Consider the following 27,052-nt stretch of genomic DNA (forward strand, 5'->3'; position numbering starts at 1 on the left):
TTTTGAAAATCCTACCTCTCTGCTCTGCTCCACAGCACTCCTGGAAGCCTGCACTTTCCGTAGACCTTAAAATCTCAGAGGTAGGGCTGCCACCAAGGTGAAGATGGGAACGCAGATGATCCATGAGTTTGCCCTGGTTTCACTGGCCCAAGTGGTTTGTGCTAACCACGTCTGTCTTCACAGCTCTGTGTTGCCATGTGTGCTGAACAAAAAATAAAAATTATTATTGATTTTATATTTCAAAAACTCCATTCTTTCCTAAATATTTTCAACAAAGGATTTCTTTATGCATTCTGCCTAAATACCTATGCAACTGAGCCCTTCCTTCTCAGCTCAAGATTCGTCTGGTCTTTCCCTACAGCTTTGTGTGTGCCATGGCCACATCTCCTGGGTACAGTTCAAGGAGACATCTTTTCTAAAAGGGTCTGCGTGATCATTAAAATATAATCAAATGTATACTGGTGTGTGTGTGCACGTGCGCGTGCGTGTGTCATGCTAAGGAAGGGGCAAGAAGGAGGATGCAGAGTGAGTTACAGAGATCAAGTACTCAAGTGAGTACAGAAAGACTACAGAAGACTTACCTTTATTTGGTATTTTAAATGAATTCCATCAGGCTGAGGTCCTGATTCTAACTAGCTGAAAAAAGTGAAACACTGACATCTTTTTTGCTGAAAAGCATTCCCTGAGCTTGATGCCACAGCAGTTACTGCCCTGTCTCCTGCCCTTCTCAGCCCAGCTTCCTGTAAGGTGGAGGCTGACTTTTCTGTCTCACTTATTATTGGCTGAACATACAGAATTTGGTCTTCTGCTTCACCAACTTACCTGAATGTACCCTGGCAAAAGTCACCGTCTACCTGCCAACTGTTAAACCAATTCAGGTCTTCCATTCCTGAGCCCATTTCCTGCAGTTGATAAAGTTGACCACTCCCTCCTCCTTGGAACTCTTTTCCTCAGTTTCTCTGACATGGCAGGTCTCTGCTTTGATTCCTACCTCTCTCTGTTCATTTGTAGTCTTCACTGTGGGCTCATCCTACTGGCCTGGAAACCTTAGGGAAATCTTCCTGGGGTTTTCTCTTGATCTGGTCAGTGCTCCTCTCACTTTGCAGGCCCTCCTTCAGTGATGCTCATGACTCCTAGGCATCTGTATCTATAGCTGTGACCCCAGCCTCCAGCAGTATCCCTGCACTTATACATCCTACTACCTACCTGTGGGTCTATACTCGAGTCTTGCAGCAGTCAGAAACCCAACAAATCAAAAATTGAAGTGATCATCCTGTTCTTCTCTCTCTTGCTTCCCTAAACCAACTGTTGTTATAGTATATTCCATATCAGCTGAAGACCTGGTCATCTACCCAATCACATAAGCCATAAATAGAGGGGTGAAATTTCAGTTCGCCATTTTCCCTCACACTACATCCAGCGTCACCAAGTTCTGTTGATTTTGCTTTCTAAATAACTTCAGTTGGCTCCTTTCTTTTCCTGACTCCTAACACAGCCTCATCTTATACTCAAATACAGAAGTGCAGATAAGGGGTATCTGGACACAACATTCCACACCTCTCTCAACTGTCTAGTATTCAAGAAAATAGGACTCTGGGTCCACTTTGCAGTCCAGACCTGATATGGACCGTTTTACACACAGCCCTGCTTTCCTCTGAGCCTATCAACGATCTGCCTTATTTAATATTAACCTAAACTTACCCCAAATCCTATAACTCTGCCTTTTCCTTTGTTTGGTGAGATACCCCATGGCTCCCCTGGGACGCAGTCTGTCTCATTGCAATGGATCAATAAACCTAATTTTATTACACTACAGGTATATTCCTGGAAGTCTTAGACAACTGGGCTAAAACAAAAATATTCAACATCCATTCTTAATTATTAAATTAGTTACTAAAATAGGATAGACAGATGTTATTTGGCCATAATTTTATATACATGTAAACAAAAGCTAATACATACCTAATGATGAAGAAACAGAAGCATTCCTACTAAAGTTAGGAACATGAAAAAAATTGATTACTATCTATCTTATTTTACAGTGTTTTAGAACAGGTGGCCAATCCAATTATACAAGAAAAATAAGTTATAATATTTAAAGAAATGCCAAAATTACTTTTATTTGTAAGTGATTATACACCTAGGAAATCCATGAGAACCAAATAATAATAAAGTATTATGGCCAGGCGCAGTGGTTCATGCCTATAATCCCAGCATTTTGGGAGGCTGAGGTGGGTGGATCACCTGAGGTCAGGAGTTCAAGACCAGCCTGGCCAACATGGCGAAACCCCATCTCTTCTAAAAATACAAAAATTAGCCTGGTTTGGTGGCACACACCTGTAGTCCCAGCTACTCAGGAGGCTGAAGCATGAGAAGTGCTTGATCCTGGGAGGCAGAGGTTGCAGTGAGCCAAGGTCGCACCAGAGCACTCCAGCCTAGTGACAGAGCAAGACTCTGTCTGGAAAATAATAAAAATAATAATAATAGGCAGGGCGTGGTGGCTCACACCTGTAATCTCAGCACTTTGGGAGGCCAAGTCGGGCGGATCACCTGAGGTCAGGAGTTCGAGACCAGCTTGACAACATGGAGAAACTCCATCTCTACTTAAAATAAAAATTAGCCGGGCGTAGTGGTGCATGCCTGTAATCCCAGCTACTCGGGAGGCTGAGGCGGGAGAATTGCTTGAACCTGGGAGGCAGAAGTTGTGGTGAGCCGAGATCGCACCATTGCACTCCAGTCTAGACAACAAGAGCAAAACTCTGTCTCAAAATAATAAAAATAATAATAATAATAAATAAAGTGGTAAAAGTGGTAAGATAAAATTCAGTAAAGTGAAAGGAAATATTAAAATAAAAAATAACTTTCTTTTATACAAATAATAGTGAGTTAGGACAATAATAATTAACAAGAATAAATAAAATGTATCATTTAGTAAATTAATAAAAGCTACATTTAAACCACACTTATCAAAGTAAAAAATAATGTAAAGAAGACATATTGCTTTGGATAGGAAGACTCAGTATTGTAAAGATGTCAATTCTCCCTAAATTAATCAATATACAATTTTTTAACTTGACAAAATGATACTAATCCTCAACTAAAAAACAAAAGTGAGACAGATAAGAAAAATTCTGATGAGAGTGGAAGAGCTCTTCCAGCTGTTAAAATGTAATGATAAGCTCCTGAACCTTGGCCTTAGCAATGATTTTTTGGCTATCACATCAAAAGCCCAGGCCACAAAAGCAAAAATAAATAAATGGGACTACATCAAGCTGAAAAGCTTCTGCATAGCAAAGACAACAAGCAACAAAATGAAATGGCAACCTATGGATTGGAAAAAATATTTGCAAACTATATATCTAATAAGATACAACAAATTGATAAAGAACTCATACAACTCAATAGCAGGAAAACAAATGATCCCAGTTAAAAATGGGCAAAAACCTGAAAAGACATTTCTCCAAGAAGAAAAATGGCCAAGATGGATATGAAAAGGTGTTCAACATCACTAATCATAAGGGAAATGTGAATTGAAACCATTATGAGACACTAGATAATAATAGGATGACTATTATCAAAAAGTCAAAAGATATTAATCATAAACGTGGATAAGGGTGAAGAGAACAGAAAACCTTTGTGCATTGTTGGTGAGAATGTACAGCCATTGTGGAAAACAGTATGGAGGTTTCTAAATAAACTGAAAATAGGGCTACATATGACCCAACAATCCCTCTTTAGGGGATATACACAAATAAAATGAGATAGCCACCTTGTAGAGATAAATGTGATCCCACGTTCATTGCAGCATTGCAGCCAATATAGGGAAGCAACCTAAATGCCTGTTGAAGAATGAATGGATAAAGAAACTGTATACACACACACACACACACAATGGAATATTATTCAGCCCTAAAAAGAATATCTTGCCATTTGCCACAACATGGATGAAACTGGAGGATATTAAGTGAAATAAGGCAGATACAGAAAGAAAAATATTACACGATTTCACTCACATGGGGAATCTAAAGAAAACACTCAAATACAGGTATACAGAGATAACAAAACCTGAGGTGGAGGAGGGTGGAGAGATGTAGGTCAGAGGATACAAAGCAGCAGATAGGAGGGCTAGGCGCAGTGGCTCACTCCTGTAATCCCAGGACTTTGGGAGGCAGAGGTGGGCAGATTGCTTGAGTCCAGGAGTTTGAGACCAGCCTAGGCAACATGACAAAACCCCATCTCTGCAAAAAAAAAAAAAAAAACAAAAAAAACCCCAAAAAACCAAAACAACAACAAACAAACAAGCAAACAAAACACACACACACAAAAAAAATTAGCGAGGAGTGCTGGTGCCCACCTGTAGTCCCAGCTACTCAGGAGGATGGATTGAGCCTGGGAGGTCGAGGCTGCAGTGAGCAGTGATTTGATCGTGCCACTGCACTCCAGCCTGGGGACAGGAGACCCCGTCTCAAACAAAACAAAACCAAGTAGCAGATATGCATGATGAACAAGCCTAGAGATCTAATGTACAACATAAGGACCACAGTATAGGTAATAAATTCTACTTTATTTGGGATTCCTCCTTCACTGTAGTAATCTTTTTTTAACTATGTATGTATCTCATAACATGTTGTATACCTTAAATATATTCAACGAAGCTTATTTTAAAAAATGAAATGTATAATGATGACTGGAAAGGGTGGTAGTCACATGGAAATAATGAAGCAGAATAAAAGTTCCAGATATTAAATGCAAATGAGAATTTATTACATGATAAAGCTGGCATTATACTCGGGGGGGACAGATAGGCTACTCACTGAAGTGTTTAGAAGCAGAGTAGCTGAAAATTTTGGCGCAGAAGAAAATCTCGTGGACCTCCAACTTACCGGTTAAAGTAAAAACTTTCGAAACGTATAAAGGTTTAAATATAAAATTAAAATCGTAAAAACAATTACTATGTTAACATATTTCTTATATAGTACTTAGATTTTCCAACATTCCACAAACCTAGTAGCAATTAAGGAAAATATTAATTTCAGATCATATAAAATTCAGAAGTCCTGTAAGACAAAAATAGACAAATAAAATGTGAAGATTTTTAAGAAAGAACAAAGGGCTAATCTATATTTTGAAATCAGTATAAAAAGACGAACAGAATTTGAGATGTGAGCGCGGACAGCTCTGCTGGGCCCTCCAGGCCCTCCGCCCGGTAGAACCCGGAGCCCTGGCCGCGGCTGCCCCACCGGGCCCATTTCTTGAAGCAGCGGCGAACCACTTTTCCTCCCCGACCTGCCGGCTGCAGGGTCTCCCCGCCCAACCCTGCCAGGCTCAGACGAAGCTTCTGCTGAGCCGCCTGGACGCAGCGCCCCTGGGTGGCGGCAGGTATAGCAGGGCGGGAAGCAGGGAGGCGGCCCCAACGCCGCGGAGGCCACCAGCGGGTGCAGAGGGCCAGGAAAGCTGGTCTGCGCGCGGCTCAGCTGCCTCCGTAGGCCATGGAGCCGAGCAGATCCGGGTCTTCGGGTGGCCGCAATGTCCCAAGTGGACGACACCCACCTAGTCCCGAGGACAACCGACAAAGTCCTTAATGGGCCCAGAAGGTGAGGGGAGTCCGGCAATGAGGGGTGGTAGGGTTAGCGGCCATCGCCCAGCTCGTCTTCCTTCTACCAGACGCTGGTGCTGGAAAAGAGAAGTGTAAGAATAACTTGCGCCATTAGGCCCATCGGAAAGGCCCACCACCCTTTAGGAAGATTACTGGCTGTTTATAGAAGGCCCGTGTATATCCTATGAAGAAGCTGCTCTCAACTTCCCCCCCAGCCTTTTAAAAGAAAACATTTGCTACATCGAGCCGTTCTAGGTGTAAAGAGGTTGTGACTTATGATAGAGTTAGAAAATCACACATCTTGTAAATTCCCATTTGTTAAAAAAATAATAATAATAATAATAATAATAATAATAATAATAGGACATAAATGGCTTCTGGAGATGACTTTTTGCAATGAAGTTGTTAGACCACCTCTGGAAGTGACAGCAGGAGCCACACATCCACGTTTATTAAGTGAGTTAGAGCAGGAGTCCCCAACCCCTGGATCTAGGTTGCACGCTCCTTATGAGACTCTAATAATGCCTGATGATCTGAGGTGGAACAGTTTCATCCTGAAACCATGCCCCTACCTTCCATGGAAAAATTGCCTTCCGTGAAACCATTCCCTGGTGCCAAAGAGGTTGGGGACCACTGGGTTAGAGGACATGGGGCAGAAGACCTGAGAAGGAAGAGAGGACAGTTCTGTGCCACACTGGTCATATTTAGAAGACATTTTCATATTCCAACCATTGTTCTGTGTGTGCATTTTATTTCTCACGACTGTATATGTAGTTAACAATACTATTTTTTAGGGAGGTGGGGGGGTCAGCCCCCCGCCTGGCCAGCCGCCCCGTCCGGGAGGGAGGTGGGGGGGTCAGCCCCCCGCCCGGCCAGCCGCCCCGTCTGGGAGGTGAGGGGCGCCTCTGCCCGGCCGCCCCTACTGGGAAGTGAGGAGCCCCTCTGCCAGGCCAGCCGCCCCGTCCGGGAGGGAGGTGGGGGGGTCAGCCCCCCGCCCGGCCAGCCGCCCTGTCCGGGAGGGAGGTGGGGGGGTCAGCCCTCCGCCCGGCCAGCCGCCCCGTCTGGGAGGTGAGGGGCGCCTCTGCCCGGCCGCCCCTACTGGGAAGTGAGGAGCCCCTCTGCCCGGCCAGCCGCCCCGTCCGGGAGGGAGGTGGGGGGGTCGGCCCCCCGCCCGACCAGCCGCCCCATCCGGGAGGGAGGTGGGGGGGTCAGCCCCCCGCCCGGCCAGCCGCCCTGTCCGGGAGGGAGGTGGGGGTGTCAGCCCCACGCCCGGCCAGCCGCCTCGTCCGGGAGGGAGGTGGGGGGGTCAGCCCCCCGCCCGGCCAGCCGCCCCGTCCGGGAGGGAGGTGGGGGGGGTCAGCCCCCCTGCCCGGCCAGTGGCCCCGTCCGGGAGGTGAGGGGCGCCTCTGCCCGGCTGCCCCTACTGGGAAGTGAGGAGCCCCTCTGCCCGGCCAGCCGCCCGTCCGGGAGGGAGAGTGGGGGGTCAGCCCCCCCCCGCCCGGCCAGCCGCCCTGTCCGGGAGGTGAGGGGCGCCTCTGCCCAGCCACCACCCGGTCTGGGAGGTGTGCCCAACAGCTCATTGAGAACGGGCCAGGATGACAATGGCGGCCTTGTGGAATAGAAAGGCGGGAAAGGCGGGGAAAAGATTGAGAAATCGGATGGTTGCCGTGTCTGTGTAGAAAGAAGTAGACATGGGAGACTTTTCATTTTGTTCTGCACTAAGAAAAATTCCTCTGTCTTGGGATCCTGTTGATCTGTGACCTTACCCCCAACCCTGTGCTCTCTGAAACATGTGCTGTGTCCACTCAGGGTTAAATGGATTAAGGGCGGTGCAAGATGTGCTTTGTTAAACAGATGCTTGAAGGCAGCATGCTCGTTAAGAGTCATCGCCAATCCCTAATCTCAAGTAATCAGGGACACAAACACTGCGGAAGGCCGCAGGGTCCTCTGCCTAGGAAAACCAGAGACCTTTGTTCACTTGTTTATCTGCTGACCTTCCCTCCACTATTGTCCCATGACCCTGCCAAATCCCCCTCTGTGAGAAACACCCAAGAATTATCAATAAAAAAATAAATTAAAAAAAAAAAAAAAAAACAATACTATTTTTTGAACTATCTACCCTTTCTAGATGTTCTGAAATGCCTATGTTAAAATTAGAGATAGTAAAATAACACATTTTGTAAATCTTTTTGTTAAAATTCATATGTAATGTTGTTTTGGTTGGGGGGGGTGGCCAAACCACCTGTTAATAATACACATTGTGTTTGTGCACTGGTTCAGGGGAGGAGAGAGGAAAGGAAGTGTAAGAGCTCTATGCCAATGTGCTTATAGTGAGGCAAGGTTAACCATTGTCTCATGCCTGGGCATTTTGTTTTACTTATCTGGGTATATTGTGGATCTAAAGGACAAATGAGTCCTGACTTTACATCTAGTCTTTCTAGATGTTAAAGAGGTTGCTAGTGTATGACAAAAGTAGTTAGTAAACTAATATATTTTGTACATTTCGTTTTAAGATTCCCAGGAAAGACAGTCTTCTGAAAATTTGAGCATTATTGCCCAGTGGGTTGATGGAGATGGGAAGGTGTAGGCCAGAATGTTCATACTTGGAAGACTCAGTCATAACTGTTTTTACATGTGTTCACTTTATTCAAGACTTCTGTGCATATAGTGGACGAATTAACTTCTTACCTGAAACATCTTATCTATGTAGATGTTCAGAATTGCCTGATGTATGTTAAGTGTAGAGGTAGTAAAATATCACCTTGTAAATATCTTTTTGCTAAAATTCTTGGGAAGTACTGTCTTTTGGAAGTGGAATTGTGAAGCCACCTCTGTAAGCAGTATAGTACTGTCTATACTTGTTCAATGGTTTAGAAATGGGAGGGAAGAAATTGCCAAAGGTAATATGCTAGTGTGTTCATACTTGGACATTTCACTTGCCATTTTTCTGTCTGTTTTGTGCATTTTGTTTTGCTGTGTATGTAGAGTACATAATGGACAAATGAGTCCTAATTTTGCAACATTTGGTCTCTAGATGTTTAAGAAGTTGCCAGTGTATGACAAAGTATCTAGTAAAATTAGCACATTTTGCACACTTTGTATTGAAATTCATAGGAAAGCTTGTCTTCTGTAAATGATTTTTGGGTATGAATTTGTTCAGCCATCTCTAAGCGTTACACATGCCTGTACCTGTCCACTGGATTGAAGACAGAGAGAAGGGAGTGAGGAAGGACTGGTTCAAGGTCAAAATTGTCATATTTAGAAGATACCTCCGATTATAGCCACTGATACATGTGCAATTTTATTTTACAGTGCTATGTACACAGTGGAAAGTTATATGAAATATCTGGTCTCTCTAGATAGTTAGAAATGCTTGATGTATTTAAAAGTAGAAATAGTATAATAACACTTTTTGTAAATAGCTTTTAAAAACTGATGGGAAATACTGTGTTTGCAAGTGGGATTGTTAAATCACCTCTGTGAACAGTGTTACTTGTTCATTCAGTTGAGGAAGGTGAGAGGGAAGAAATTACAAAAGATGTTTTGCTATTGTGTACTAGAAAATTTCAGTTTATCCATTGCCTTATATGTTAAATGCATTGCAAGTAACTTTGCTATACTACATATTGTGTTATATACTGGAAAAATGAGTCCTAATTTTAAAATATCCACTCTCTAGATACTAAAGAGGTTGCCAATGTATGACAAAAATAGTAAAGTAACACATTTTGTACACTTTGTGTTAACGTTTATAAAAAGACTATCTTCTGAAAACGACTTTTGGAAGTGAAATGATAACATCAACCCTAAGTGACACATGGGCCCATATCCACCAGGTTGGTGGTGCAGAGGAGCTGGAAGAAATGAAGGATTCTAGATCAGAATATTCCTATTTAGAAGACAGTTTAAGATAAACCATGTGTGTAGTTTATTCAACCCTACTGATGCAAGAGAATAGGGTCTGGAGGCAGGAAACATAAAGCAGATTCATGCAGACTTCCTAGAAATAAATGAAATGGAAACACATCAGCTATGACAGGACATATACTCTCCAACAGAGTAAATGACTTTGTAACTTTATTTCATCCTCTCCATTTACATAGGGCGTACATCAAGTAAATGACTAGGGTGTATACTAAGTAAATGACTTTGTAACTTTATTTCATCCTCTTCATTTACATAAGGCATATACCAAGTAACCAATGGAAACCTTGAGAGGGTATTTAAACCCGAGAAAATTCTGTAACTGGGCTCTTGAGCCCCTAAGCACAGGCCTTCTCCCACCCTGTGGAGCGTACTTTCATTTCATAAATCTCTGCTTTTGTTGTTTCATTCTTTCCTTGCTTTGTGTGTTTTGTCCAATTCTTGGTTCAATATGCCCAGAACCTGGACACCCTCCACTGGTAACATATTTTGGCAAGGCAGCCAGGAGGTAAGCCCAAAGTTTGGGATTTTTCATCTTTTCTTTTCCACTCCATACAGGGGAATCTCTCCCTCTGTCTCTTTTTCCTTTCCAACTCGGGACCCTTGGTGGGCAGCGCCTAAACACGGAGGCAACCGCAGGTTTCTGGGTGGGGCCATCCTGAAGGACTTTTTTCTATCTTTTCTGGTTGTGGTCCCTGATTCCTATGTGTGGCGCAGCTCAGGGCAAACTTGCAGCTCAGGGTGAACTTGCATGTGTTTCAGGCGACGGAAACCCTACTTGACTGGCTAAGGACAAAAGAAGCCTACTCAGCTTCCATTTCCTATCATTACAGTTCATGGCTATCATGCTAGTGGAACAGGAAGCATGGGATAATGTGGCCTTATCAAATTATAAGGATGCTAAACGCCAGTGATTACACCCAGGAACCAAAGGACAGCTCACAATTGCCTCTGGAGGGAAAATATGCAAAGCGGCACTGGTGCCCACGTAAGGTCAGAGATGCCTGACACTCTTAAGACTGGACCCCAAAGGGGGATTCCCCAGGGGATCCTCCAGACTTCAACCTCTCCAAAGGGGATGCCCTTGGCAGCAGTTCTAAGGACTAGTACTAAGCCCTCCTTAGAATTTTCTCTTGCAGTTGCAATACTGTTTGGCCCCAATATGGTTTGGATTCTGGCATTTGCTGTTGAATGGGAAAGCGGGATGCAGTTGCATGTATCCAGGCTTTGGTGCTGCTGTTCTAAGCAGGGGCAGGCCTAGTTATTATGTGATGTTCTCCTTTGGTGCTGTTTGACCCCAGTGTTCTTTCGAGTCTGGGGAGGTTTGGCCTTTAAAAATCAAACTGCCATGGAAATTGCTTTACCTGAAATAATAGTTCACAGCCTTCATTGGATTGCTTATTGGGTACACAAAGTAAAATTGGCAAGCTTGTATTGCTATCTCATGGTTAGGGTTCCAAGGTAAAAGCTATTGAATCTTCATTTGTGTGTGTGTATACACATGTCTAGATGTGTTTATTTGCACATTTGTTATATGTTGTGTTTTGGCATATAAGTAAAAGAGCACTCATAAATTAAGTAAATAAGTCGAAGCAATTTTCAAGTTCACATGACTTAAGTATAACTTTCCTAAACAGGCTAGTTTTAAAATTATTGGTGAAGTAAAAATAGAAATGCCTTCAGAATTGTCAGCATATATTTTTGTCTGGGTTTTATATTTGTCTCTGCTAGATATTTTGAGGTGTTAGGGTTTGGCATAGAAGGTTATAAAACTATAAACCCAGCCAAAACAAAACGATCTCGTTTGCGTTTTTTTTTTTTTTTTTTTTTTTTTTTTTGACAAATGAGCATAATTTAATGTTAGCTAAATCTTCTGGGTTACTGGCAAAAATACGTATGTATTAACTTTGAGGCTCTTACTTAGGTTTAAGTGCACACCTGGCTATTCAAAATGTGGTTAACAGGGAAATAACTGACTTTAAAAGATAGTGTCTAACATTTCGGTTTACAGAGGTAATCTAGATAAACTGTTAAAAGTGAAACAATTGAGTACAGTGAATGGGACAAATGTTTTAGATAAGCTTTTTGTGTAAAGTCTTAAAATCATTTTTGATGCTCATTTAAGATCTGGGCCATTTCCAATTAGAAAGGTTGTGATATGGGGAAATATGTTTCTAAAATTGTGGAATTGTTCTTAACTATAAATTCCCATATCTGATAGTTCAGGATTTCTAGCTTTTTAGCGTTTCACTAAAGTTTTAGGTTACTAAGGATAAGAATTCTAGTTAACACATAATTCTGTATACAAAACATGCCAGAAAGTTTGTGTTATTAGTGAGAAAAAGAATAATTTAGAAGTTATCTAAAAGTTAGTTCAAATTACAGATTTGAAAAGGTTACTTATGAAACAATGTAGTAAGGAACCAGTAAGTAGAGGAGAACGATATGGAAAAAGTTTAGATAATAAAATATTCTTTAAAACCTGATAGAGAATTGGAGATATTTGGCTAATTAACATTTTCATAGTGAAAGCTGTTAGTCTTGATAAAAGTAAAATAAGCATTGTAAAGAAATGCATCGGCAGTTTGGCAATTCCTTTTTACTATAGTTAAGCATGAAGCCGGATTTGGTGTGGAGCCAAATTTCACATACATGCTTGCATTGCTTCACACTGTTTACTGTTTTGTGTGGATAGTGCTGGCACTGGAGTACTTATTGGTTATGTGCCTATAGTGTATTTCTTGATTGCACAGGATGTATGGTGATATTGGTGAACTTAAGGATACTGAATTGTGTATCAGGAACAAAATATTCATTATGTGGGTTTTGGGGGGCCCTAGGTAAACACTGTAGCCTCCAGGGTAGATTGAGAAGGAAAAATTTAGGGTTGGGTTCCTATTTGTTTTTGCTTCTAATTTTCATTTGTTTGCCATTTATTCTCCTCTGGCTTTGCTTGTGTATGCACATATAAAATCATATATATTTTTTTTAAATTTCTAGTGGAAGGCTTTTATTTGGTTCTGTGAATAGTTATTTTGTTCCCTATGCATTTCTAGCAAGTCATCATTTGTTCCATTTATCTGGAATTCCTAGGCTACCTTTGTCAGGCTGGCAGGAATTGATGGAGCACACCAGCTTTTTAACCTTGAACTAACTCAAATTCTGTTTATGATACTTTAAGTGTGTTGAGTATATTTTCATAAACAGAATTTGAGTCATATTTCTCTGTCTGCCCATTTTCTCCAAAATTCGTAAACTATTTGTGAATATTCTTAATTCATGGCAATGTGTTTGTTTGCATATAGTCAAGCAGGGTTCCTAGGGCTGCTTTGGGAGACAGAACCCAGAAACCTGGCATACTGGCAAAAGGGTAAGAATTTCTTACCAGCCAGACTCTGGTCTCTGTCTCTCTGTGCAAACTGCATAAATGAATAGTAAAAGTCACTGTTTATCTCCTCTGTAAAGTTTTGATTAATATAAAAAAAGAATTCTGAGGCCGATCTTAAGCTGTAGTGAATCTGGTGTGCTTTGTGTCTTTCTGTATTGTTTTGTCATAAAGAGGGGTACCTTAGAATAAAATGTGTGCTTAGGACCCCATAGACCTGCTGTTCAAGACACACCAGCAGACTGGTCAGTCATGTCTTTGGGAGCTTGACCTTGTAACCATGTGGCCATGCTTTCTCTTTTCACAGTGGCAGCCTGGGTTTAGGGTTCAATTCCTGGCTTAGGGAATGAGTCCTTTATCTTCTGTCTGTGTATTTATATGTGTTGTGTGTGTACTATAAAAGAGCATTAATTAATTAGCTTAATAATAATAAGAGCTTAAATCAAATATTTTATCAGAAAAGTAAAAAATGTAATGCCTTCTATTTACTTCATGTAACTTAAGTAATCTTTGGGAAATAAAGACAGTTTTAAAGATTATTGGTAAAATAAAAATATCTTCAAAATGTAAATATTTAGTCTAAATTATGCAGGTCAGATATTAGATTTGCAAAATGCTTTAAGGTCATAAACCGCTTCTTTGACTTTTAAAAATTGCTCAATTTATTTTGGAGCATTAGATTCTAGATAAGGCCTGGGGACAAATAGAATTAGCCATGTCCCCTAGCTATGCAAAGAAGGTTATAAAGAAAGGAGATTTTATATAAGAAAGGATCTTATATCGTAAATTCGTGTCCTAAAGTAAAATAAGCGGTTGTTAAAAAAGAGGGATGTTTAGGACAAGTTAGAAAGTCAAAGCATGTCGTAGATGGTCTGTGTAAGTCATGAAATAATTTACAAAAGAGAATTTATGCAAGAAATATACAATTTAACGGTGATTAGACCTCCTAAATGCTTCATAAAATGCCACTATGACTCTTAACTCTACAACTTGCCTGCTTTACAGCTCGGTAAGGCCTGAGACACGTGGAGTCAGATGCTGGAGTCAGACCTTAAGTGTACTTCTCTCTGGGTCCTAGACTCCACAACTAATATATAATTAAAATCCTTAACTTACCAAAGTTTTCACCAAAAGTAAAACTCGCTAAGAGTTAACATTGTAACATGTAAGTGAGACTACTGAAGCAACAGTTTTACATGCAAGTTACGTAAGAAAAGTGAATGCATTTTCAGTGAAAGATTATAACAAGGCATGGGAATGTAGATTTTTTTTTCTGTCTAAAGGGTTAAAGGATTGTTTTAAGTTAGGATAAAGCTAAAAGTTTGAATGAGTTGTGGAAGATTTATAAAAATTAATATTGTAAAAAATTATGTGTGTGAACATATTGACTAAATTTAAAGGGGTATTTTCTGGTTTTTCCATAAATTGAACATCAAAATAAAAGCACAAACAGGGTTTTCTTAAAGCACCGATCTGCTCTTTAACAAACATTTGTAAAGGATTATAAAAGGTTTATGAGAATCTCACCTTATGGTCAAACGGATTAAGATTGGAAAGATATGTCTACAAGGTTTTCTTAAAAATTGGGGTTGACATTAATAGCACACTAATGCAAGGGTGAAATTTGGCTTTCTCTCTTGAACAAGATTTTCATGCAGTATTAAAAGATAATGAAAGATCTTTGTTTGCCTTTTGAATAAACTACCCCCCCACCAAAAAAAAGGAAGGGAAAGACAAGAGACAGATTGTTTGTAAAGTAAGTCTTCCATCTATCAACATGGAAAGGTTTTTGCCTTTTAAAACATTTTTGAGTCATCATTTTGCTAAATGAATGACTATGGTAACCTGGAATTCCATTTCATAATGTCAAGTGTTTTAAATCTTTAACATATTTAATAGGCTTCCCAAAATCAAATTTCAGCTTCAAAATTGTCTTTTCTAACCTCTAACTTTGAGATGCTGCAGAGGGCCCCTGAAGCATCCAAAAGAGAGGTAAACAGAATTATTTGACATGTTTAATTACATGGGAAGCATTGTCAAAAAGAAAAAAATTTAATCTTCTTCAGGTTATATTTTAGTGAATAATATTAATATATGTTCCAAAATTGTATGAGATTTCTAAAATTCCAATATGTCTGAGTATATGCTATCAATCATAATTATGATTATTATGTTATTGTAGACCACAGAAATAACCAAATTTCCTTGTCAATTGTGTTTTTAACTATAACTATTTAAAGTCATTTCCACAGTTAATTGCTTAATGCTGATGCAGTTTCTGAAAACTTCACAAGCATGCAAAGTCCTAGAATATGGTGTCTTTTAGGAGATTCATGAAAGATTGGAAAGGACCCTAAAAAGCACTCTTGAATACAGGTTTCTAATAAGTTTAGAATTATATCATTTGAACTGGGTAAGAATTCCTGGAACTTTAATGAAAAGACTGACTGAGTTCTAAAACTGCTAACCCAAGTAGAACAAAAATTAATTAAATACCAAGAAAATACTTTGCCAGATTTTCATGCTAAATCAGCTGATACTGAAACTGTTTAGATATAAAATTTGAATAAACTCCATCATTTAAATCAAATTACCTATGATAACCCATCAGTTATCAGTGTTATGCACCTAATTTGGGGAAACAACTGGTATTCAAGAGGATATGAGTCTAATGTTAATTAAGCATGAACTCATGGAGAACCAGGATGGCCACCTTGTCCTTCCTAAGTCGTTAAAGCTTTTGTTAGTAAAATTTCTGCATTACATGACTCGTCACGGAAAAGATAAAATGATCCAAATTGAATATATTGATGTGGTGACTTATAAATTGCTAAAATAGTTTATAACCAATGTTTGGTCCCATATTCCTGGGAAAACAATCAAAGCTTCAGGTACATCCAGTCACCTGATAGGCCATTTAAACATTTTATAGAGGGATTTTATTCAATTGTTATTTTCAGTGCATGTTTTCTGGTTGTATAAAAGCTTTCCCATGCAAGAGGGCTGATGTTATAACACTAAGTTATTATGCCACCAAGTATTTTCACAAGGTAAAGAAAGCTTTTTATGGTTCACTGAGGACAATCAACTCCTTCACAACCTAGAAACTGAAGATTGTATCTTCTGAAAACATTGGATAAAGACTGTCCTTGCCATCCACACTACAGCAAAACTTCTGGACTTTGAACTTTGGGTTCATGATCTCACAACTGAGAAGAGTCCCTCCACACTCTTGGAACTGTACACCCATTGGAACCCTTAAGGTAAAGCTAACCAGGGAAGTTTCTCTCCCGAAGAAGATGGCATCCTTGATGTGAACAGCTTTTCCCAAGATCATGAATCAAGACTTCTCTATTATCATGAGACTCTTATCTTTGAATATTTTTTCCTTGCTTTTGCCTCTATGAAGAATAGAAGTGGAAAAAGGATCTGTTGTGTACAATTATGGGTTATACTTTTATTTGTGAAGAATTTTGCAGCCAGCTTTAGGTCCTTTTTCCATGATTTGGAATAAAAGAGGCAAATGTATCCCTCATAATAGGCTCCATAGCAGTTTACTGTAAAGGCTATGGTTACATAATAGACTAAATTATCTTAAGAAAGTTATGCTAAATAATAGAGTTGGCTAAACAGAAGAGTATCTGTGCAGCTGCTGGCACTCATGGCCTATGGAGAAAACATCAGGTATTATAGAGATTCAGTTGTAGCAAATTAATGAAGAGACTGCTTAGTTAAGTGAGTAGACTCTTTAGCTCATTGTTTAATCTATTTGAGTTTAGGAGGTTTGGTTTATGGTGACCCTGGATAAGGAGCATACTTACTCTCAACTCTTGGTATTATCCTCCTGATAGTCATAATAATAGTCTCCCTGGTGTGCTGTATTCTCTCAACGGTTTTAAATGTTTGCATGCTGCCACCTCTAGAATGTCAAATGGCCTCTCTTCAACTGGAATGACAAGAGCTGAAAGAAATTGCAGCCATGAGGACACTGTAACCTACGAATGATGTGCTGAGTCCAAAAGCCCAAAGTGTTGGTAACTGAGAGTGGTGCTAAGTAAGGCCCTAAGTTTTGGTCACACTCTCACTTAAGTGAGAACCTGACCAAAAAAGTGGAATTTTTTTTTTTTTTTTTTTTTTTGAGATGGAGTCTCACTCTGTCACCCGGGCTGGAGTGCAGTGGCACGATCTCGGCTCACTGCAAGCTCCACTTCCCGGGTTCACGCCATTTTTCTGTCTCAGCCTCCCGAGTAGCTGGGACTACAGGCACCTGCCACCACGCCCGGCTAATTTTTTTGTATTTTTAGTGGAGACGGGGTTTCACCATGTTAGCCAGGATGGTCTCGATCTCCTAACCTCATGATCTGCCCACCTCGGCCTCCCAAAGTGCTGGGATAACAGGCGTGAGCCACTGCACCTGGCCAAAAAGGGGAATTTTTTTTAAACAAAATTATGGGAGGTCATTTTTTTGTACTGAGCCCATGCGCCAGGCCCCAACAGACCAAACTAAACCAAAACGGAGTCACGTATGCCAAGACCTTAAGGAAACACATAGATCCTAGAACAGACCACAGGCCAGGTTTTGTTTTTCTCCTACAAATCTCTATAACAAACATTCCTGACAGCATAGATATCCACCCCCTGAGTTCCCATTAAATCTTTTAACCAAATTAATTTCCTCTCGCCAAAAGACCATCAAGCTTCAGATGATCATGCAACAAAAGTTTCATCCAGTTCCACCACCCCTGGCCATCAAGGAGCTACCCTGCCTTCACTAGAAAGAGCAGAGCAGGACTTCTGTGATCCTCAATAGGTAGGGACTAGGCCTCAAGCCAACATGAAGCAGTTACAAAAGAAAGACCATCGGCCCCTCCACCTCCCATAAAGATTTATGGGGATCCCATCTCTGGAGGGAAATGAGGCAGAAGAATAGGGTCTGTAGGCAAGGAATATAAGGCAGATGCATGCTCACTTCCTAGAACTAAATCAAATGGAAACACTTCAGCTATGATGGGAAATGTCTTCTGTATTTACATAGGGCATACACTGAGTAACCAATGGAAACCTCTAGAGGGTATTTAAACCCCAGAAAATTCTGTAACCGGGCTATTGAGCCCCTATGCTCAAGCCCTCTGCCACCCTGTGGAGTGTACTTTTGTTTTCAATAAACCTCTGCTTTTGTTGCTTCATTCTTTCCTTGCTTTGTTTGTGCATTTTGTCCAATTATTTGTTCAAGAAGCCAAGAACCTGGACACCCTCCAGTAGTAACACTACTGGACATATAGTGGACAAAATTAAGTCCTTATTTGAAACATCTAGTCTTCTAGATGTTTAGAAGTGCACACAGTATGTTAAAAGTAGAGGTAGTAAATAACACATTTTGTAGATATCCTTTTGATTCATATGAAACATTGTCTTTTGGAAATTGATCAAACCACTTCACATTATATTTATGCTGATTCAGGGAGGAAGGAGCAGAAGAAAGTGCAAAGGGCTTTATATCAGTGTGTTTACAGTATGACACAATTGACTGTTGTCCCTTATATCTGCATTTCCTTTTACTTTGCTGTGTATACAAACAAACATTTACATAGCTTTGGAATTTTGAATTGGTAAATATTCATGATGTGTGAAAAAGCATGATACATACTGTATGATCCCAATTGCATAACATTGGATGGTGTCCTAATTTATAACATCTAGTCTTTCTAGATGTTAAAGAGATTGCCAGCATATAACAAAACTAGAGTTAGTAAACTAATACATTGAGTACACTTTGTGTTAAAAATTCATAGGAAAGATTGTTCTTAAAAATGCTTCAAAAGTAGAATTGTTAAAATCCCCCCTAAGCATTACAGATGTTTATACCTGTCCACTGGATTGATAGAGATAGGAAGGGGAAGGGCTTTAGGCCATGTTCCTATTTAGAAGACACATCCAAATTATAGCCTTGCTTTGTATGTGCACCATTTATTCAATGCTACTGTGTATAAAGTGGAAAACTCAAGTCCTATTTAAAACACCTAGTCTTCTTAGATGTTTAAAAGTGCACAATATAGATTAAAAATAGAGGGCTAAAGTAACACCCTTTATGCATTTTTGTGGTTGGTGTTATTTCCTAGGGATGGTTGCATTTGAGAATGGAATTTTTAAACTTGATGCTGACTGTTCATCAGGTGTCGGCAGGTGGGAAGAGGAGGAGGTATGCAGGGAGAAGGGTTCTGGGCCCGTGAGTTAGATTAGTTCAGATGATCTAGCCATTGTTCTGTATGTGAATTTTAGTTAATATTGGTGTGTTTTAAAGAATAAACAAGTCTTAATGCTCAAGGTAGTTTAAAAGTGGAGGTAGTAAAATATCCCTTTATAAATGTCCTTTTGTTAGTTTTTAGGAAGACCTGCCTTCTGGGAGTAATCTTTGTTAATCCACCCCTTGGAGCTAGACATAGTCCTGTACTTAGTCACTGGCATGCTAGAAGAGGGAGAAGGGGAAGGGTGAAGGGAAGGGCTTTTTGCTAGTATCTCGGTATCCAGAAGATAGTGTGAGATAACAGCCATAGGTCTAACAGCATTTTAGTAAAGTGCCTGCATTTATTGTGGACAAAGTTTATTTTTTGGAACACTTAACCTTTATGAATGTCCTGAGGAGACAATGTATGATTAAAAGTAGAGCTAGCGAATTAGCCAATTTGTAAATATCTTTTTGTTATAATTGATAGAAAAGATGCATATTGGACATGGAATTGTTAAACCACCACTGAGCAGTGTATATCAGGACTTGCTCATTAAGTTGGCAGCAGGGGGGCAAAAGGAAGCATAAAGGGAGAGATATATGCAGATATACATTTACATTTTGATGATAGCCACTGATGTATGTGCATCTCTTTCGGCTGTACTATAGGAATACATTAAGTAATTCAGTGAAAATATGCCTTCTTGCTAATATTTTCATGGCATAGAACTACTAATGAATTCTCTTAGAAACATTATACTTAGTGTATTCTGTTGCTTTATGTTTCATTTTAAATTGAACATTAAGGGAATGCAGTATTTTAATTGGAACTCTGCCAATGCTTTTATCTCAAGGTATGATGCCATTTTTGTCTTTTATAAAATTTTTGTTCCAAGAAAGGCAGGATTACATTTTTTCCTAATAGATTGAGTTGGTGTAGTGTTTTCTTGACTATCAAAATACTCATATAGCTTTAGGATTTTGAATTGGTAAATATTCATGATGTGTAAAAAAGCATGACACATAAAATTGCATGATCTCAATCCCATAAATTTGGATGTTGTTGTCTATACACACACAGGACCTAGAAGGACAAGTCAAACTGTAAACTGCCTGTGATTGTGGATGACTTTGCTCTTTGCTTCATGTGTTTTCCAGTTTCCTAAAATGCACGTTAGCTTTTTAAAAATAAAAGATATTTTAAAAACATTAAAAAAGAGATGAACATTGTGATAAAAAATAGGCAAAAAATACTAGAGACAGTTACTAGATAACACACATAGAGCCAACACACATCTAAAATTTGAAGCAACTCACTCATAAAGAAATAGAATGCATGAGAACATGCACTTTTTTAGATCAGCTAAAGTTAAAGAAAAACTACTAATACCCAGAGGTGGGAAAGGAATAGAGAAAACAGTTACGGTTACTACTTTTGATGTGACTCTAGATTGGAGAAATCTTTCTCTAGAGGGATGTTTCGCCAAATCTATTATACTTCAAACACATATGTCCTTTATTCTTGATTGCACTTCTAGGAATATATCCCATGGAAGTACTCTCACAGGGTGTTTATAATAAGGTGAAAAAATGAAATCCTAAATTTCCATCATTAGAGGACCACAGTGATTTAGGATATATCTAAACACTGGGATACTCTGCAGCATTTACAGAGAGTGCAGTAGAGCTATATGAACTGCTGGGGAAAGGTGGTTCAGTAAAACAAGTTTCATAATCAGATGTATAGTATATAATCATATATTTGAATAAAAACATGAACATATATGCTTGCGTGTGTGTGAAAGGACAGTTACATATGAGCAGTAGCCTTGGAAGGACAGAGAAAAAAATAATTATTTTAATTTTGCATTTTTATGTACCATTCAACTTCTCAAAATGAAGATCTATTACCTCAATTACTTTTTTCAAGTGGCTCTCGGGGAGAAGTTTAATAGTAAAATAATCTGAATTTTGCAGTTCCTGGTATTATGCAATTGTGTATTTTAAGGTCTAAGGAAAGTATGCCCAGATAATTCTCCAAAGGTCCCAGCTAGATTCTGTTAATATCAAGAAGGATTTAGAAGTAGAAGAGACCCCTTCTGTGTTTAACAGACAAAAAGTTATCCTTGAATGTGAAGGAAAAAGTGCCATTGGGTGGAAAAGGCTGGGAAGGATGAACAGAAGTTGAATGGAATGTTCCCTTGTAGAACACCATGGTTCCTCTTCTCATCTACGTCACTGTAACGCCAGCATGTGCACTTCCACATGCCAGCGAGCAGTAATGACAGCACGCTTTCAGTAAAGCCAGGACAGCTGTGGCTGACATCATCTTCCTTCTTCCCCCAGGGACGAACCTAGAAGTGTGGCACTGTTCCTCTGTAGTACCAGGCAGCCTATGACTGAGGCTCAGGGCTGTAATCTGGCCTGGCCTTAAATCCCCCTCCTTGGTCTCAAAAGGTTAAGACATCATTTGTTCTCTGTGCTGCTCCATCAGCAGATAGGGACCACCTAGGACCTCCGGGTGTTTCCTTCCCAGATCAAGTCATTTAAATAAGTGCAAACTGGGTGCCTGCTAAGAGCCAGCAGTTTTGGTATAGAGCCAGACCTTCCCTATGCCTACACCTGAAAAATGAATGATTACATTGTACAATGTATGCTGTGGGACTGTCCAAAGTATCAGAGCTGAATAAGCTTAGATATGGTGCAATCAAGTGAGTGAGTCAGCTCTGAAGTGGAGCTCTTTGTCAGGACCTCTTGTGTTTCCAGTGGACTCACCTTTCTCCCCTTCCATCCTTTAAGGGACTGGAGGGAGCTGCCCAAGCTGCCTGGCCAGATGTCTGTGGACTAAGTGTGACTGATGGATATAGGGGACTGATCCTACTTGTATCTGACGAAGAATATTGAATGATGTTAGAGAAAATCCTAAATGGTGCCTCTATTCAGATGTAATTATTCTTACCAGCAGATTCTACTTTCTGAGAAGCTAAAATTAGAAATTAAATTTGGTAGGCTAGGGTGACATGTCCTCAAACCCGCTAAGGCAGGGATGTGAAGCAGGAGGATGTCAGACAGGAGCCTGGGGCACAGCAATGGACACAGTAGGCCTGGGATCATTCATTCAACAGTTGACCAGTGCCTCCCATGAGCCAAGTACTGTTCAGGGATGGGGAATACAGAGGTGCATACTATAATCTCTTTAAAAATAACGTGTTCGTTTGTATTTACTGCTCTTATCCATACAGCCTTCTTATTAGTACATATGTACAGAGGAATGTCTTAAATATTTATCAGATACTATAGGTAGAAAAATAGAGGTGATTTGTGGCTTTCATTATTGCTTGAGTTTTTAATATAATAAGCATGTGTTAAATTCTGTTTTTAAAAATCCTCTAAACGTTTTTTTAAACAAAGCCATAGCAGGGGAATCCCATGATTGGTATCCCTAGGTCTGAGGTATGTTCCATTGTACATTGGAGCTTTGGGGAGCGGATGGAAGAAGGTGTCTGGTGAATGGGACATTTTAGTTTATGGAAGAGAAGAGAAAAATTCCCTGACTACAACTGGTTTCATTGTAACTTTCCATCTGCTATTGGAATCAAGAACTAAAAACTTATCAGCAGGCAGCAGTCAGTATCGCATGTCCTTCCTCTGCATTCGTGCCCACGGAGCTCCTGATGGAGATGGGTGAGTACAGGGAAGCAACTAATCTCACCCCTCCTGCTCATTCCTGAGAATGGGAGTGCTAACTTCTCACTGAGTGTGGGAGCTGTGCACATTTCTTCTGCCCAGGAAACATACTGAAGAAAAAAAGTCTCTTTTCTTGAACCTTTTTTCTTCCTTTCCCAACTTCACCACCACGGCAGCCCTCTTCATTCACATAGCTCTGACCAAATATCCTCAGCGAGTTAAGACAGTTACGGTTGGAACTCTCCGTGTCTGGCTCTTCCTTCTTCCCTGCATCTTTGGTCCCCAGTCAGGAGGTCTAATGGTAATATCCAGTGATTTTTCTAAAGAGGAATCAGTGGTTATATTATACAAGGGGTGTGTGCGTGTGTTTTGGGTGGTGAATACAGAGCAGCGGTTAGGACCATAAGAAATAAGAGAAATGGAATGTGGCATGACCGCTGCCAGTTCTGATATTTTTGAAATTGGTAATTTAAAATAAAGTAGTTGGTTTACTTACTTAAGCCTCACATCTTAACCGTCCTTCCTTGATCTGGAGTTCCTATCGCCTACCTTTATCAATTAAAAATGCCTTGAAAATGAATCCTACTATGTTAAAGCATACGGTTAAGTAGATAGAAGCCCAATTGCCTGGGATGAAGTCCCAAGTCTGCTCATTACTATATATCCTTGGGGAGGTTACTCAACCCTGCTTCAGTTTCCCCTCTGTAAAATTAGAAAATGAGTCAGTGTGAGAATTAAACAAATTAATACATTAGGCAGGGCGTGGTGGCTTGTGCCTGTAATCCCACCACTCTGGGGGGCTGAAGCAGGAGGATCACTTGAGCCCAGGAGCTCAAGACCAGCCCAGGCAGCAGAGAGAGACTGTGTCTCTACAAAAATAAAAATAAAAAAACTACCTGGGCATGGTGTTTGTGCCTGTAGTCCCAGCTATTTGGGAGGCTGAAGCAGGAGGATCACTTGAGCCCAGGAGTTCCAGGTTACAGTGAGCCCTATTGTCACTGCACTCCAGCCTGGGCAACAGAGTGAGACCCTGCCTGAAAAAAAAAATTAAAAGTATTTAGAATGATGCTTGGCACCAGGAAGTGCTCATTAACATTAGAAACTATCTTCATGCCCCACTGTCTTCCCCATACACCATAGTCTTGCTTCCATCCCCACACTGCCCCATCCCTTGCTTATCCCCTTGAGCTCAGACTCATTCAAAGCCTTGTCAAAGGAGCCTCTCTGCTACAGAAGATGCTACTGACCACTTATAGGACATGTCTGTTTTACTCCTGTGCCACTGACTCTTCCTTCTTAGGCTTTTTTGTGGGTTCCTTTCCTCATTCTTCATGTTCTCCATGATTTTAATGACCACTTATTTATTCCTGACTCCCAAATGAAAATCTAGTATATACTTGTGGAACTTTATTTGTGTTTACTCATCACTTGCTTGACATAAGCTTTTAGATTTCCCAGAAGCACCTAAAACTCAACATATAGAAAAGAGACAATTTTCATTCTGGCTACTCTTACGTTGGATCCACAGCCCCAAGCCCTCTCCCGTTGAGGTCCCTAATTCATTTAATGGCTTTCTCATCTTCCTAGTCACCCACACCCACCACCTAGGATGCAGCCTTGATAACATTCCTTTTACTTAATTCACAATATCCAACTAATCACATCCTACGTATTTTAACTCTCAGACATCTCTCAAATTTGTGCTCTCATTTTCATACCTATTTCTGTCTCTGTATTAGACTCTGAGCATCCTTTGCCTAAATACTGCATCTTTTGCCTAAATGCTCTCAGCTGGTCTCTCTGTCTGAAGTTTTTTTTTTCCTCTCAAGTCATAGTCCTCCATAGATCTGTCAATTATCTATGTCACCCCAAATGAAACTTCTACACTTGATCTTAGCCAAAAGGCCGAGAAGCGATCCCCAAATGAAACTTCTTATTGCATTCTGGACAAACTCTTAAGTTCCTCAACATAGCACAGAAAATCCCTTCTGGTCTGATTCCTGCCAACCTTTCTAGCTTCATCTCCTGTCACTCCTACTTAAATTACTGCTCTAATCAATTTTTATAGATTTTATAATTGATGATTTGGCATCTGTTGATCACTAGGCCAAACTAACAGCCAACATTGTTTACATTTCCCCTGTGGCCTGGCTTTTGAGGGTGTGCCTAAATCATATTGCAAATCTTCCTAATACAACCCTTAACATCTGTGTTTCGCTTCTTGCCCAATCAAAAACATCTCTATCTAGCTACTCGCTGACACATTAGTAATAAAGGAAGAGTCCCAGTTCCTTTTTTTTTTTTCCTTTTTTTGGAGGCAGGGTCTTGCTCTGTTGCCCAGGCTGGAGTGCAGTGGCATGTGATCACAGCTCACGGTAACCTGGAATTCCTGGGCTCAAGCGCTCCTGCCTCAGTCTCCCAAGTAGCTGAGACTGCAGGCATATGCCACCATGCCTGGCTAATTATTTTTTAATTAAAGAAAATGTTTTAGGCCGAGGTGGGTGGATCACGAGGTTAGGAGATCGAGACCATCCTGGCTAACATGGTGAAACCCCGTCTCTACTAAAAATACAAAAAATTAGCCGGGCATGGTGGCAGGCGCCTGTAGTCCCAGCTACTCGGGAGGCTGAGGCAGGAGAATGGCGTGAACCCGGGAGGCGGAGCTTGCAGTGAGCCGAGATCGCACCACTGCACTCCAGCCTGGGCAACAGAGCGAGACTCTGTCTCAAAAAAAAAAAAAAAAAAAAAGAAAAAAGAAAATGTTTTTTGCAGAGACAGAGTCTCACTATGTTGCCCAGGCTGGTCTTGAATTCTTGGCCTCAAGCAATCCTCCTGCCTTGGCCTCCCAAAGCGCTGGGATTAATAGCTGTGAGTCACCGGGTCCTCCCCCAGTTCCTCTCTTTTTCCTTGTCCCTGTGCATGGTGAGGTTTTGTGTGGCCCTGAGTGGTATCAAGCTAAATAACAAGCAGAGAGGGACGCTCTAAAAGAAAATAATATTTATTCTGGAATAGGCATTGCAATGGGACTACGCATGCCATAGTCAACTATGTGCATATTCAGGGGGGTGTAAAGGAAGACAAAGATTTTTAAAGAAAAAATGAGTCAGATTCCATAATTGTTTTAAGATAATTATCCTTGGCTACAAGGATCAAATGGCAAGGATGGCATCAGTACTAGGTTGGACAGGGAGTTGCTGGGTAGCCGTCCTAACAGATGTATTTTTTTGTGTGTAAGGTTGCGATGGCCTTTGTGCAAGTCTGTGGTTTTTGCAGTCTTTTGTGACAGTTTTTGTCATCAGGCATGGGTGCCTGAGAACCCTCCCTCCATGGCCTTTCACCAGCTCCATTTTTCTGATTAAAAAAAAAAATACAAGTGACTCCATTTTGATGCTGACAACTTTTTCAATGGCAATGTGGAACTGTAATAAACTTTTTTCAATCTTTCAGTGACACTGACATCTTCATGTCTCTACTCAGCCATACAATTAAATTAAATAATGTGTACATTTTAAAACAATGACAGCTGTTTAATGACAGAGACTGTGAACTGGGACCCTCTAGGCTGGCCACTTTTGGTGTTTTATTTGGGCCACAAGTTTTTGAATGCTTTCAATTACCTACAGAAAATTTCAAAAGTGGAAAATTTCCTATAAAAATCTGCCTTTATTGCTTCTCTTGAAAACTGGAAGAACCGGCCACCCAGGTCCCATAACACCTACCTGGCTGAATAGGGTCGGCCCTACTTTCAGCAGAAATACCTCCTGCAGTTTTCAACAGCCCCAGCTCTCCTGGGCGTTGATTTTCCTAGTTGCTTCCTTTAATGCAGACATTTGAGTTTGCAGCCCTAGATTGACAGTGTAGGGGCACTGAATTACTTAGGGTTCCCACATACATCGTTTCTTACACTCATTTTCTTCTGCACAGCACCTTTTTTTCCTTTAACCACTCGCAGATGCTAACTCATTCTTCAGGACTCAATTCCAATGTCCAGAAGCTTTTCTCTGAACTCATGATGGACTCCGCGTCCCATTATGTATTCCCACATCGCTCCGTACATCCATCTGTCACATCCCTTGTCACATTAAATTCAGATTAAATGTTTGTAGGATGCTTGAGTTCTTCACAAGTCTCACGTCACTTAGCGACGGTCGGGAACTCCTCAGTGGTAGTTTCGGGAGCCATTCATTCATTTTATTCATTTCATCATTCTTTCAACAGTCATAACGTAGGTGAC

General features: G+C 40.5%; 2 protein-coding genes and 1 long non-coding RNA gene across 6 annotated transcripts in view, besides 2 other annotated features; 2 read left to right on the forward strand and 1 right to left on the reverse strand.

Annotated features, from left to right (window-relative positions):
* The window catches only part of TF (transferrin), a 134,644-nt gene extending 116,553 nt beyond the window's left edge, over positions 1-18,091 (forward strand). For all 3 annotated transcript variants that reach the window (NM_001354703.2, NM_001063.4, NM_001354704.2), the window contains one exon: positions 36-18,091. In NM_001354703.2, coding sequence (NP_001341632.2) covers positions 36-70 — 35 coding nt within the window. In that variant the 3' untranslated portion in view covers positions 71-18,091. The remainder of the gene's footprint in view (positions 1-35) is intronic.
* SRPRB (SRP receptor subunit beta) overlaps positions 5,473-27,052 on the forward strand; it is a 44,552-nt gene continuing 22,972 nt past the window's right edge. Inside the window, exon 1 of the mRNA NM_021203.4 lies at positions 5,473-5,594. The gene's annotated coding sequence lies outside the window, so the exon portion shown is untranslated. The remainder of the gene's footprint in view (positions 5,595-27,052) is intronic.
* On the reverse strand, positions 5,589-26,933 carry LOC105374116 (uncharacterized). 2 transcript variants are annotated; one of them, XR_924513.3, is made up of 3 exons: positions 26,538-26,933; positions 16,727-16,866; positions 5,589-5,673 (listed from the first exon to the last, which is right to left on the reverse strand). It is a non-coding gene; the product is annotated as an uncharacterized LOC105374116 (long non-coding RNA). The 2 variants fall into 2 exon arrangements; XR_007096109.1 differs by lacking the exon at positions 5,589-5,673 and adding an exon at positions 9,501-9,596.
* Positions 16,512-17,096: an enhancer, noted in NCBI's record as "NANOG hESC enhancer chr3:133513906-133514490 (GRCh37/hg19 assembly coordinates)". NCBI's record gives its function as "activates a minimal SCP1, AML or CMV promoter by ChIP-STARR-seq in primed H9 embryonic stem cells {active_cell/tissue: H9 hESC(primed)}" and the evidence as "EXISTENCE:reporter gene assay evidence [ECO:0000049][PMID:30033119]".
* Positions 26,917-27,026: an enhancer, noted in NCBI's record as "active region_20555". NCBI's record gives its function as "activates an Ori minimal core promoter by ATAC-STARR-seq in GM12878 lymphoblastoid cells {active_cell/tissue: GM12878}" and the evidence as "EXISTENCE:reporter gene assay evidence [ECO:0000049][PMID:35858748]".

Source organism: Homo sapiens, chromosome 3, assembly GCF_000001405.40.
Source record: "Homo sapiens chromosome 3, GRCh38.p14 Primary Assembly".
NCBI lineage: Eukaryota > Metazoa > Chordata > Mammalia > Primates > Hominidae > Homo > Homo sapiens.